General features: G+C 45.0%; 1 protein-coding gene across 14 annotated transcripts in view, besides 2 other annotated features; it reads left to right on the plus strand.

Annotated features, from left to right (window-relative positions):
- NDUFAF6 (NADH:ubiquinone oxidoreductase complex assembly factor 6) overlaps window positions 1–14,520 on the plus strand; it is a 222,698-nt gene that overhangs the window by 54,799 nt on the left and 153,379 nt on the right. For 12 of the 14 annotated variants that reach the window (NR_148905.2, NR_148906.2, NR_148903.2 and 9 more), the window contains one exon: window positions 7,398–7,582. The gene's annotated coding sequence lies outside the window, so the exon portion shown is untranslated. Of the gene's footprint in view, window positions 1–173; window positions 213–7,397; window positions 7,583–14,520 lie in introns of all 14 variants that reach the window. The other 2 variants (NR_148904.2, NR_148908.2) reach the window with 1 other exon arrangement.
- Window positions 9,614–9,693: an enhancer, noted in NCBI's record as "active region_27639". NCBI's record gives its function as "activates an Ori minimal core promoter by ATAC-STARR-seq in GM12878 lymphoblastoid cells {active_cell/tissue: GM12878}" and the evidence as "EXISTENCE:reporter gene assay evidence [ECO:0000049][PMID:35858748]".
- Window positions 11,331–11,487: a silencer, noted in NCBI's record as "fragment chr8:95974156-95974312 (GRCh37/hg19 assembly coordinates)". NCBI's record gives its function as "represses an EF-1alpha promoter that drives an FKBP-Casp9 reporter gene in an ReSE screen in phorbol 12-myristate 13-acetate-treated (for megakaryocytic differentiation) K562 erythroleukemia cells {active_cell/tissue: K562(+PMA)}" and the evidence as "EXISTENCE:reporter gene assay evidence [ECO:0000049][PMID:32094911]".

Raw genomic sequence — 14,520 nt, forward strand, 5'->3', positions numbered from 1 at the left:
AAAATATGATGGTCATTGGACCTTATCTTGGGAGAAAGAGCTAAAACTGTGTTCTAGATAGTCTCACAGACTTGAACATGCTTTGGATTTTAGGTTTTTGCAAATCAGGCTTGTTCTAATATTTTCTCCCACATGCTATGGTAGGAGCCCCATGATCTCTTGTTTCTCCCTAGGAATCCATTGAAGAGGCCATCTCCACATTCAGAACCAAGGTATGATGACAATTACAAGGGGCTAATTTTTAAAAAGAAAAAGGCCTACCTTTTTCCAGTTTGATAAGGTTTATCATGGTTAAAGCAACATGTGAAATCATCATCTTGTTATGATAGAAAAATTCAATATGAAGTAGATCATTTTTCCAAAGATGACCACAACAGTATCTCCATCATGAAGTGGGTGTATTTTTCTTCCCTTTGAATCTGGGCTGACCCTGTGATTGCTCTGACCAATAGAATGTGGCAGAAAGAATGTTCTAGGACTTCCAAGCCTCGTCATTAAGCAAAAGCATTAAGCAAACCCCACAGCTTCTGCTTTGTACTCTGGAAAATGCCAGCCACCCATGAGGAGAGACCACCCTGCTAGCCACAGGGAGAGGCTATGTGAAAAGAAAGAGATGCCTGGCCAGCTCTAGCTCTTCAGCTCATCCCAGCTGAGCTACCAGACACATGAGTGGAAAAGCCCTTAGGAAGTTCCAGCTCCAGCAGACACCATACTGAACAGAGGAGAGATAAGCCATCCCCACGGAGCACTGCCAAAATGACGGCATTGTGAACAAATAAATGATCATTGTTTTAAGGCACTAAATGTTGGGGTAGTTTTTAAAGCAGCGATAACCAAAACACAAAGCTAACAGAAATGCCCATCACAGATCAGTGACTCTAAACTCTACCAAATAGTGTTTGTGATGAAAACATCTTGTCTCAGGAGTCACTTGCTTTCTGTTTACTCTCTTGCTGATTTATAATCTTCCCACCTGGTGCTTGTTTATTCCCAGTGGTGCACCAAGGAGGGCGTGCCTCAGGGCAGCATAGGTGAAGTCTGTCCCTAGGAGGGAGGAGTACTTTACCACGACATTGTTTGGAACTGTTGGAGCATAATAATAAAAAGCAAACTGACTTTTAGTCAATTTTATTTTAAAATTCTTTGCAGACACACAAATTTACTGTGTACTGCCTGTATCTGGGGTGGATCACTCCCACTGCCTCCCTTCCTGGTATGCCACTGGTTTACATAAATGCATGCAGTGAAACTCAGGAGTAATGTCATCTCCATAGCGTAGAGCTGTCTGAACACAACCAAACTGTCAAATTACACAAATGCAAGCAAGCTTTTCATCTGTTCACTGACAAAGACCCAGCCAGGTTCCCTGCCTGGGCAGATCCAGTGAATCCAACCATCCTTTAATTCACAGAATAATTCTTAGCGTGTTGCTATAGTACCCACTTCCAGGCTGACCCCCTGCTGTGGGGGTGACCCTTTCCCCATCTGTCAGAGTTCTCCTGTCTGTTTTCCATGGAGCTCAATACGCTCCCTTATCTACCCTAACAAAAGGGATTCAACCTCAAGTTTTGTTTGGAAGACTCACAGTGCAGGACCACATTCACACCAACAAACAGATACAATGCAACTAATGCCTCTGCCTCCTGCTTATGAAAGCAGGCTGTGGCCATAACCCTGCCAGTTGCATCGAGGCTGCTAAAGAATGTTGTTTCCTACCAACCCATAGGATGGCTACTTGGGGCAGCCTCAGAACACAAAGCAACAAGTTGTTCTGTCTGTACTGAGGAGAATGGCAAAGTGAAGTCCACTTAGGTCGTTTTCTATCTACCCATCAACAGTTAGGATCTGCTGGGCTTCTACCATGGACACAGCATGTTGCCAAGTGTCTGGGAAAGACAAGAATTTTTTTAAATTGCATTTTAGATAAACAATCACTTAGCATTCCAGTGACATCTATTGTCTTAAGGGAAGAAAGGATCTGACTGGGTCTCCAGAAAGCCTGGAACAAAGAAGCAAGAGATTCTGTGATTTCTGCTTTCTGAAATAAAAACAGAAAACAGGCGTTTAACTGGGCTGCCAGTTACCATCTCAGAAAGGAGTCAAGAATTATTCCAGGGCCATAAGTGTAATAGCTTTTCAAGACCCTGCAACCTTTGTGACTTTTGTATGTTTGTCTTTTTGTTTAACCCTATTTCCACGTGGTGATTAGAAATAAAATCCTTAAAATAAAAAGGGTCTGTGTGCTGGCTGAGGCAGCAGAAAGGAAAAAGGAGGCGGGCCCCCTTCATTCAGTAACCAGTGCTAGGGGGGAGTCCCCAAGAGGTGGGATAGCCTGCGCTGGATTGTAACTAATGATCGCTTCAGGCCTAGAGTATTTTCTCTAGTTTCTGGAAAGTACTTTCAAGGCTTCTTAGTTTCTGGCTGAATGTACAGGTAACCCAATTATTTATGTTAAAACTTAGAGCAGAGGCTGGGCACGGTGGCTTACGCCTGTAATCCCAGCACTTTGGGAGGCCGAGGCAGGTGGATCACCTGAGGTCGGGAGTTCAAGACCAGCCTGACCAACATGGAGAAACCCCGTCTCTACTAAAAATACAAAATTAGCTGGTCATGGTGGTGCATTCCTGTAATCCCAGCTACTCGGGAAGCTGAGGCAGGAGAATCGCTTGAACCGGGGAGGCGGAGGTTGCATGAGCCGAGATCGCACCATTGCACTCCAGCCTGGGCAACAAGACGGAAACTCCATCTCAAGAAAAAAAAAAACAAAAAAAAAACCTTTGAGCAGAAAGCAAGGTCATCCCTTACTGGATATGGTCTAGAGACATGATACAGAATGGCCCTTCATACACCACCCTAGCTCCAAGGAGCCATGAAGCTTGAAGAGGCGCACTGTGTGGGGCAGATGTGACTCGTTCTTGGGGCGGTTGTCAGAGATTAGTTGAAGTGTGTGAGCAAAGGGCTTTTGTAACTCCCGCTGCCAAAGCGACTTCTTCACTCACACTGATACTTCTGGGCACTGCCCAACAGTCCGCATATGCCAGAGGCAACCTGAGGTGGGTCTGTAATCATGAATTGCTTTGTTAGGGTGACAGCATGAGTGCAAGTGCCTTTCTGCTCTTCTCAAAAGGATGCAGATGATATGGTTACTACTTACATAAGCCACACACTGCCTAAATAATCTACCTATTTAAGGAAAACTCGTTTATTGGATTCTTTTTTTTTTCTTTTTGCATGAATGAACTACCTTAAATATCCATTTCATTTTGCAAGATGAATTTATGCTTTTAAATGTCCATGTTTCTCATGGCTTTGGCAAAGCCAGGCCTAAACGTTTTGATCATCCAAGGCAAGGTTTTTTATTTCTATAGTATCCTTTCGGGGCCTCTTTTCCTGCTTTATTCCTCTTTGATAGGAGTAGGCATTTATTTCTCTTAAATATCCATTACATTTTGCAAGATGAATTTTTTTGTTTTGTTTTTTGTTTGAGATGGAATCTCGCTTCGTCGCCAGGCTGGAGTGCAGTGGCGTGATCTCCACTCATTACAACCTCCGCCCCCCGGGTTCAAGAGATTCTCCTGCCTCAGCCTCCCAAGTAGCTGGGACTACAGGCGTGTGCCACCAAGCCCAGCTAATTTTCGTGTTTTTAGTAGAGACAGGGTTTCACCATGTTGGCCAGGATGGTCTTGATCTCTTGACCTCATGATCCGCCCGCCTCAGCCTCCCAAAGTGCTGGGATTACAGGCATGAACCACCACACCTGACCTATTTAACAGTTATTTAATGAGCACTTACTCTATGCCAGGCACCAGGGATACAGCAGTGAACAAAACAGAAAAGTCTTGGCCCTCAAGAACCTTCCATCTAGTAGAGGAGATACAATAAACAAGTAAATATATAATTTAGTGGGTGCTGTGAAGAAAGATAAGCTGGGTAAAGGGTTAGAGAGAAGTTGGTGGGGAGGTAGTGTGGTCAGGAGGGCCTCTCTGAGGAGGTGGCATTTGAGCATTGAGAACCAAAGGGCATAGAAGAGTGGTCCAGGAGCAGGAAGAGCAAGTGCAAAGGCCTGAGGTAGAAGAGTCTTTGCTGTGCTTAAGAGCAGTGCTGTTCTCAGGCTACACAGTGTAACTGAGGATTTGGCATGATCTGGTATCTGATGGTGACCTGACCAGACCCATAGGTTTATAAGCTGAAGAGCCGTAGAACTTTGAATTGTTTTGCTGTCTTTTTGGCTTTTCCAACACTTCCAGAAAGGCCCACAGATCTCTGAGAAGTCACTTTTTGTGTTTATTATTATAACCTGGAACTAAATTGTAGAGCCCTGAGAACAGGTCTCACAGAATGGGCCTCAGGTAATCAATTCTGTTGCATCCTGGAGATAAATACACTCTGTGCTGTCTGGTAAGGAAGGAAAGAACAGATAATTATGGAGTTCCTGCTCTGGAATGGGGACAGTTGCTTATCTTCTAAGTGCCTCAGTTTCCTCACCTGTAAAAGAGGGACAATAATACCAGCTCGGAGAGACAATAAAGGCAGAAAGGTGCCTGGCACATGTAGGTCTTTGGTAAGTGTGTGTTCTTACCAGCACATAGACCCTTCTTGTCCTAGTTCATTTTGTGTTGCTATAACAGAATACCTGAGAATGGGTAACTCATAAAGAACAGAGATTTATTTCTTACAGTTGTGGAGTCTGCCAAATCCAAGGTCGACAGACCCACAGAAAGGCAAGAAAACGTGCACACACATGAGAGGAAGGGGGTCAAACTCATCCTTTTTATCAGGCATCCACTCCTGTGATAACTAACCCACTCCTGGGATAACAGCATTAATCCATTTATGAGGCAGAGCCCTCATGACCTAATCACCTCTTAAAGGTCCACCTGTCAACACTGTTGCATTGGGGATTTAGTTTTTAACACATGAACTTTGGGGAACACGTTCAAACTATAGTGCTTCTCATTTGAAGTATTTTGTCTCTAATCACCATGTGGAAATAGGATGTTATTTATTTATCTATTTCCCTTTTTTGAACCCCAAATAGATTAAAAGGAAATAGGATTTTAAAAGAAAATAAAAGGAAAAATGCTTAAAAGCTTTAATAACTTCTGAGAACTTGAGCCCCCTCAAACCATAAAGTCAACAGCAAAATATCTTCATCTTCTTTAATAAGTCTATAAGTAGAAACCACAGAGGTGGTCTTGACCTATGCTTGAATTTGTGCCTACCTAACCTGCATTTTGTATTATGTGAATGTTTAAAACCATAGTTTGGAAAAGAAGTCCCTCCCTAGCACACACTGATACACCTGAGTTACTTTACCTGCTCAAACACAAGTGCAATAGAAACCAATCAGTCCTGTAAATTAAACTCCTGGAAGCCATATAATCCATAACTCAGAACAGAATTTAAAGTGAGAAGCAGCTGAATCAGCTGAATCTAATGGTTAAGAGCCCTAATTCTAGAATCAGACCTTAGTGCAAGCTGAATGACTTTAGGCTTGACCTCTCTTAGCCTCCATTTCCTGTTGCATAAAATGGGGATGATTAGAATGCCTCCTTCAGTGGTTCCGAGGTTAATGAGATAATGCATGTAAGCATTTAATACAATGCTTGGCACTATAGTAAGAGCTTATTAAAAGGTCATAAGAGTAACCTGAGTGTGCTGGGTTTTCCAGCGTTTGGGCAAGTGCTATATAAGCTGGGGGGTCAAGGAAGGCCTCTCCAGAAGGTGAGTTCTGAGCCAAGCCCTGCATGATGAAAGGGGCAAGCAAGCTCTGTGAAGCTCTAATCAGTGACTAGTAGCAGAAGGAACAGTGAGTGTGAAGGTCCCACCATGCCACAGGGGTGCTTAGAGGACCAGCAGTGTGGCCAGAGTGCAGTGAGGGAAAGAGACTGGAGAAGGAGACCAGATCAGAGAGGTGGGCAGGGTCTGGGTCAGGAGAGAACATGCAAACCAGAATGAAAAGTCTAGATTTCATTCAAAATGTGATGGGAAATGAAAGGATTCAATAATTTCAAAAGAATCCCCCTGGCTACTGTGTAGGAAACACTCGTAGTGGGTAGATGGAAGGCAAGGAAATAAGATGCAGTGATTCAGAGGATGGAGGGTGGGGTTAGGACCAGGATGGCAGCAGTGGAGGGGGAGGTAAATGAATGACTGAGATGAAGATTTATTTTGAAGATAGAGACAATAAGGCTGCTTAGTGGACTGATGTGAAATGTGAAAGAGAATCAAGGATGGTGCTTGGGGCTCTGATCTCCCACTGTGAATAATGATACTATTAAAGGGAATGGGGGCCAGGCGCAGTGGCTCATGCCTGTAATCACAGCACTTTGTTAGGCTGAGGTGGGCGGATCACTTGAGGTCAGGAGTTCGAGACCAGCCTGGCCAATGTGGTGAAACCCCATCTCTACTAAAAAATACAAAAATTACCCGGGCGGGGTGGCATGCACCTGTAATCCCAGCTGCACGGGAGGCTGAGGCAGGAGAATCACTTGAACCTGGGAGGCGGGGGTTGCAGTGAGCTAAGATCATGCCACTACACTCCAGTCTGGACGACAATGTGAGATTCCATCTCAAAAAATAAAAAATGGGGAGAAACAAAGAAAGGATGAGGGACACAAACTGAGCTTGAAATGCTTTTTATATCCAGGTGGAAGTTCCAGGGCAATTGAATATTTGGGTCTGGAGCTCAAAGAGGAGGTGGGAGTGGTGATGTAAATGTGCAACTTATCAGCTTTAATATTTATAGCCATAGGACTGGATCAAGGAGCTAGGGAGAGATTATGGACAGAGGAAAGGGCTGAAAGCTGGGCCCAGGGCTCTGACATTTAGAAGAAAGAAGATAAGGGATATCCAGCCAAGAAGAGTGAGAAGGGACAGCCAATGGGGTGACTGAAAAATAAGACAGCGTGGTAGCCTGATCCAAGTACTGAAACTGTCTTTGGAAGGAAAGTGTGACCACCTGCAGAGAAGCCAGATACAATGAGAACAGTGAGGTGGCTTCTAGATCCAGCAAGATGGTCTACAGCAGATGTATTGATAGCAATAACTTCACTTACACATACCCTGAGAATGACCTTGTAGTCTAAGAAGATGTGTGTTTGGAGTTACGAGCTGAGGAACGTGGAAGCGGCCAACCCAGAAATTCACTCATTATTCATGAAGGACATCTGAACCCCCGGGCCACCTCTTGGAATGAGGGTTGTACAGGGGAAAGAGGCTCTTTGTTTGGGGTTAAATGAAGGTTGCTGCTAGGTGGAGGTTGCTAAGTGAAAATGCCATACAAACTGCATGCTTTTTACAAATGGTGGTGGTGCTCCTGTCCAGCTCACCGCCATTGGACCATCCCTGTTTGTAAATCCATCCAACAAACCCTATGTCTCGTTTGTTGTCTCCAGGTCTCTTCTTCGGCCTTTCTGACATGGTGCCAGCCCTACTGGAGTCAGCAGGAGTCCAGCACAACAGATGGTGGTCAGTGGTGACTTCGGCACAGGCAGTTCGTGAGGAGTGGTTGGTGGCCATGGAGTCCTGACTGGAGTAGGTTAAAAAGAAGGAGGAAAATCACAAGAAAGAGAGACTGGAGGTGAGGAAGCAGACATAGAAGGTCTAAATGTATTTACTTCTGGAGCTGCCATAACTAAGAACTGCAGATTGGGCATCTTACAGAACAGAAAGGTATTTTCTTGATAGTTCTGGAGGCTGGAAATCCAAAATCAATGTGTTGTCAGGGCTGGTTTCTGCTGAGGCCTCTCTCCTTGGCTTGTGGATGGCTGTCTTCTCCCTGTGTGCCCACATGCTCTGCCTGTGTTTGTCTGCATCCTAATCTCCTCTTCTCGTAAGGACACTAGTCATACGGGATTAGGGGCCACCCTAATGACCTGTTGATCACCTGTCTCAAAGCCCTATCTCCACACATAGTCACATTCTTTTTTTTTTTTTTTTTTTTTTTTTTTTTTGAGATGGAGTCTTGCTCTGTCGCTCAGGCTAGAGTGCAGTGGCATGATCTCAGCTCACTGCAGCCTCCGCCTTCTGGGTTCAAGCAATTCTCCTGCCTCAGTCTCCTGAGTACCTGGGATTACAGGCACACGCCACCATGTAGAGACAGGGTTTTACCGTATTGACCAGGCTGGCCTCAAACTCCTGACCTCAGGTGATCTGACAGCCTCAGCCTCCCGAAGTACTGGGATTACAGGCGTGAGCCACTGCGCCCAGTCATGTATAGTCACATTCTGAAGTGCTAGAGATTAGGGCTTCAACATATGAATTTGCGAGGCACACAATTCAGCCCATAACACTAAGCAATTATTTTCTTAGAAATTTTGTTGTAAAGGAAAGCAAAAGATCAAAGTGGAACTAGATGTGAATGGGAAGACAGGGAGGTTTTGTCTTTACTTTGGGCTTTTACTATGGGAGGAATTACAACTACTGGTATTGCTGGTAAGAATGATATGGCAGAGAAGCTGAAAATGGCTGCGGGAAAGAGGGGGTGATTGCGGTAGCAAAGCCTGAGTACCTGAGAAGGGATGGGATCAAGAAGTATCCAATGACTTACTCAGGTCACATAACCTGTGAGTGATGGGGCTGGCACTTGACCTCAGGAATCCTCACTCTGAGACTCTCCAGTCCAACCAAGCTGCATTTCAATTCCTGTCTTTGAGAGCAGCAGTAACCATAACAATCTCCCAGGATGTAAAGGAGGAAACACATTCACATATCAAATTACAGCTGTCCTGGCTACCTACATACTAGGTACTCAAGGCTTGAAGAGGAGGAAGGAGGTCAATGGGTTCTTGGAAGGGGAAGAGGACAAACAGATAAGACTCCATTTGCCTAATTGACAACTAAAACACCCTCAGAAAGTCCAGTTCCAAAGGTGGTTGAATATTTTGAATCCCTGACTTAGCATTGGCCAATTTTTTTGTTGTTGCTTTTTGTTTTTTTTGTTTTTTTTTTAGAGACAGTCTTGCTTTGTTTCCTAGGCTGGAGTGCAGTGGCACATTCATGGCTCACTGCAGCCTCTACCTCCTGGGCTCAAGTGATCCTCCCACCTCAGCCTCCTGAGTAGTTGGGACTACAGGTGCATACCACCATGCCAGGCTGTTATTTTTATTTTTTTTACTTTTTGTAGGGATGAGATCCCACTATGTTGCTCAGGCTGGTCTCGAATTCCTGGGCTCAAGTGATCCTCTCGCCTTGCCCTCCCAAAGTGCTGGGATTATAGGCATGAGCCACCATGCCTGGCCTGGCCTATTTGTATGAACTGACCTTGGCTTTGGGTCCCCCCCAGTTTCGGATGTTTACATTTCATCAGCTTTTCATGTGCAGATTATATTCTCTGTCCCCAGCACCAAGGATCACGTGGTTTTGTGATTTTACTTCTACAAACTCTCTTATCACAGCACTTGCATGTCCGAGTCCAGATGTTAAACAGATCGATCAATGAGTAAACCTTGGCTTCACATTTTGTGCAGACAAACTTAACCAAGACATATACAAACAAAGTCTCTTAGCTACTGCATAGCCTCTGTGTCACCAGATCTTTGCCTTAAAAACACTTCCTTCTTTTTTTTGGTAGCAGCTTTATAGAGATAAAATTGACATACTGTATACTTCATCCATTGAAGACGCGCAACTCATTGGTTTTTGGTGCTTTCACATAGCTGCCAACATTTCCTTCTTGACATTGTGGTTTTCACCTGAATAGACAGGTCAAACTCCCAACCTCAGTACGACTCTGCTATTTTCATCATGGCAATTTCCAAACCCGTAAAGGTTATCTGAAGGCAAATGTAGATATGACTGGGACTTCCCTGGTGCCTCGTTAGCAGCTGATGACTTGTCTAAGTTCATCCGGTGGAAACTGCTCCATGTCTGTTATATGGGTGGCTGTTGTGGAACTAATGAACAAGGAATTGAGTGAGCAGTTTTAATACAATAAAGGATGGATGCCTTGCTTGGTGCACAGACAATGACATCTCAGTAATTTTATTCCAATTGGCAGAACGCTAAATCCCTTTCATTTGTTTCACATCTTCTTACCAACCTTTCTGCTAAATGCTCCATTTCAGTATCCTCCAAAGTGTTTGTTTTGAGACCATGTATGTTTATGTCCTCTTTCCTCTCATGGAAACCACCTGTAGCAGCAACCAGTGGAGCTGCTGCAAACATTTGTTTTTGATAACAGTGTATTCTGAACGTCTGTGGTTTCAATTTCTATTTTTGTCCCTGACTGTTGTAACTTTTCGAACAAACCCTTCATACCTTTTACGGGTAGCTTTGCTTTTCCCAGGCATTTGCACTCTGCCCAACACGTCAGCTACATAAACTGTGACAAGGCTATTGCAAGATTGCTCTATAATTATTACCCAAGAAAACATCTTGTGAGAGACCAAAACTCTAAAAGGCCAGCACATAGACATTTTTCACCTTTTATTAATTATATGCAATAATCTCTGAACACAGAAACAGTGTCAAGAGACTATCATTCTTTTGGAATTTTGACGAACAATACAGAGAAGCAAAATAAACCACTCGGTCCCAATTAGAAAATTTTTTCTCTTATTCATCAGTGTTCTCCACTGACACGTAAAATTCACCACTACACTCTCTCACATTTCATTTTTGTCCTTGAACTCCAGGCTTACCTCATATAAAACTTCTCCTCCTTCCTTAGTACCATCCAACCTTTCATTCATTCAATAAGAACTTTTACCATTTTAAATCAGTACAGTTGTCTAATGACTTACAGTTTCAACATGTTTTCATCTGCATTGTTTAAACTGGTCCTCACAACAATTCAGAGAATGAAGTCACAGCAACCATTATTGTTGTTTTTTTTCTTTTGAGACGGAGTCTCGCTCTGTCGCCCAGGCTGGAGTGCAGTGCCACCATCTCAGCTCACTGCAACCTCCGCCTCCCGGGCTCCAGCGATTTTCCTGCCTCAGCCTCCCAGGTAGCTAGGACTACAGGCGCGTACCACTACACCTGGCTAATTTTTTTGTAGTTTTTAGTAGAGACAGGGTTTCACCATATTGGCCAGGCTGGTCTCCAACTTCTGACCTTGTGATCCACCCGCCTCAGCCTCCCAAAGTGCTGATATTACAGGCATGAGCCACTGTACCCAGCCTAGAGCAACCATTATTACTGCCATTTTATAGACAGAAAACTAAGGTCTCTTGGCTAGCCATAACAAAACTTGTACCAAGAAATTGATTTGAATTCTAGTCCAGGATTTTTTCCTACCATAATACTGGCCTTCATATTTTGCTATGATTCTCCAGTGTCAGCTGCATCAAAATCCCCTGGAGGGCTTGTTGTATCACAGATTGCCAGGGCCCGTCTCCAGCATTTCTGATTCAGTAGGTCTGGAGTGAGGCCCAAGAATTTTCTCATTCACACCCACACTTCTCCACTTTGTCCTTTGCCTTCCCCCTTCTTAGCTTCCCTTCCAGCTAGGGGTGGCCATGTGACATAGTTCCGGCCAATGAGATGTCAGCAGAAGTCTTCTAGGACAACTGTGCTTTCCTGATGAAAAGGGACAGAGTTGGCCCTTCACCCTTTCTACTTCTTCCTGCCCAGAACAGGTACACAATGCTCAGAGGCACAGCAGCCACCTTATGTTCCGCACATTAAAATGGACAGGATAGAAAGACAGGAGGAGACTGGGTCTCTGACGGTCCTAGGTTTCTTACCTCCAGACTGCTTTTTATTTTTTGAGACAGAGTCTTGCTCTATAGCCAAGGCTGGAATGCAGTGGCAAGATCTTGGCTCACTGTAACCTCTGCCTTCTGGATTCAAGCAATTCTCGTGCCTCAGCCTCCCAAGTAGCTAGGATTACAGGCATGTGCCACCATGCCTGACTAACTTTTGTATTTTTAGTAGACATGGGGTTTTGCCATGTTGGCCAGGCTAGTCTCAAACTCCTGGCCTCAAGTAATTCGACTGCCTTGACCTCCCAAAGTGCTGGGATTACAAGCATGAACCACCACACCTAGCCCAGACTTCTGTTTTTTGTTTTTTGTTTTTTTTTTTTTTGAGACAATGTCTCACTCTGTTTCCCAGGCTTGAGTACAGTGGTGCGACCATAGCTCACTGCAGCCTCCAACTCCTGGACTCAAGTGATCCTCCCACCTTGGCTTCCCAAATTGCTTTTATGGCATTAGCCACTGCACCTGGCCTCCAAACTCCTTTTTTTCTTTTTTTTTTTTGTTTGGAGATGGAGTCTCGCTGTGTTGCCCAGGCTGGAATGCAGTGACGTGATCTCAGCTCACTGCAACCTTAGCTTCCTGGGTTCAAGTGATTCTCCTGCCTCAGCCTCCTGAGTAGCTGGGATTATAGGCACCCACCATCACGCCCATCTAATTTTTGTATTTTTAGTAGAGACGGGGTTTCACCAAGTTGGCCAGGCTGGTCTGGAACTCCTGACCTCCACTGATCCACCTGCCTCGGCCTCCCAAAGTGCTGGGATTACAGACAGGCGTGAGCCACTACACCTGGCCCAAACTCCTTTTCGTGTGAGAAAAAAAAATCACTAACTATTAAATCACTGCAGTCAGGCTCTCTATTACCTGCAGCCAAAGGCATGTCTTATTGATACAGAGAAAAAGAAGGTTAGAAAAAGAAGAGTACATGGCAGTGTGGAGACTGCATGAAAAATGGCATTTAACAAGCATTTTTGAGGCTTACTCTGTAGCTGACATTGTGCTAAGTGAATGAAGCAGTGGTCCTGCCCCCAAGGTGCTCATAGTCAGGGTGGAAAGACCACCATATAAACATATAAAGAATGCACTGTGAGGGGACAGATGTATAAACAAAATGCTATGGAAACCCAGAAAAGGAACCCTACCTAAGGAGGTCAGGGAATGATCCCAGGAGATAACATATGAAAAAGGACTTGAAGGATGAATACAGTTATGTCAGGAAGCAAAGAGAAAAAAGCTTTCTGTGCTTGAGTCCCTTCTTTCTTCTACCCTTGAGGGCCAGAGGCTGGCTCAGCTGGAGACGGGTTGGAACAAGGGCCGTAGCCAGACATCTAACTAGGTAATAGAGGATTCCAAAACCCAAGCTGCCTGCAGAGCCAACTTCAGGAAACTCAAAAGTCCAAAGAACCAGGTGGGAAATTGTGAAGGTTGGCAAATACCCATGACAGCAGGTCTAGGGAGCCAGACATCTGGGGCTGAAAGGCAAGAGCCAGAGAGCAGAGGGCATTTAGGGAGAACAGGGCAGTAGCTGGGGAAGACAGGTGGAGGCCTGCTTCTCAAGCAGTTAAGAAGCTCAGTGCACAAGCTCAGCAGGTCAATAAATAGCCCATTTCATTATCTTATCATTCAACTTCATTTTCACATTCAGCCCTCATCCTGTTAGGGCTGTGGGAAAGTCATCTTAGTCCTTCCTGGGGATTCCCCCTGCACCCAAGGCTGTGCTAAAATTCTGTGGCCTTAGTTAGCCTGAAGGGCCCTTCAGTCCCTGGTGCTGCTGTTTCTGTGACATAGGAACCCTGGCGGTAGGACCCTGTATTAGTCTTTTTAAATTGCTATGAAGAAATACCTGGGCAGGGCACAGTGGCTCATGCCTGTAATCGCAGCACTTTGGGAGGCTGAGGTGGGAGGACCCCTTGAGCCTAGGAGTTTGAGACCGACCTGGGCAACATAGGGAGACCCCATCTCTACAAAAAAATTTAAAAATTAGCTGGGCATGATGGCACATGCCTGTAGTCCCAGCTACTTGGGAGGTTGAGGCAGGAGGATATTTTGAGACCAAGAGGTTGAGGCTGCTGTGAGCTATGATGATTCCACTGCACTCCAGCCTGGGCAACAGAGAGAGACCCTGTCTCAAAAAAAAAAAAAAAAAAAGGAGGAATACCCGAGACTGGGTAATTTATAAATAAAAGAGGTTTATATGGCTCGCAGTTCTGCAGGCTGTATAAGAAGCACGGCACCAACATCTGCTTCTGGTGAGGGCTCAGGATGCTTTTGCTCATGGCAGAAGGCAAAGGGAGAACAGGCATGTTACATGGCAAGAGAGGGAGCAAGAGAGCGAGAAGGAGGTGCCAGCTTCCTTTAAACAACCAAATTTCATGTGCACTAATAGAATGAGAACTCACTCATCACCAAGGGGATGGCACCGAGCCATTCATGAATCATCTGCCCCTGTGACCAAATATCTCCCACTGAGCCCCACTTCCAACATTGGTGGGGGTCACATTTTAACATGAGATTTGGAGGGGACAAATATCCAAACTATATCACACTCCATCTCCCTGATGGACCATGGGAATTTCCACCCAGTGCCTGATACATCCAGAAAGCATGGTATAGATCCCTGCCACTGATGGGCGCCAGAGATGTCTCTTTCCTCTTCTCAGGTCCAGCATCTCTTCTTGGTATGAGGGAAATCCCTCCCTCTAGCACTGTTTCCATCAGAGACCCTCACCTTAAGCTCTGTTCACCTCAGTGAGCTTAGGGCTTGGGAAATATGAGCCAGGAAAGGGAAGAGTCTGCAGTCAACTCTGTGGTCATCCTG

Source organism: Homo sapiens, chromosome 8 (genome assembly GCF_000001405.40).
Source record: "Homo sapiens chromosome 8, GRCh38.p14 Primary Assembly".
NCBI lineage: Eukaryota > Metazoa > Chordata > Mammalia > Primates > Hominidae > Homo > Homo sapiens.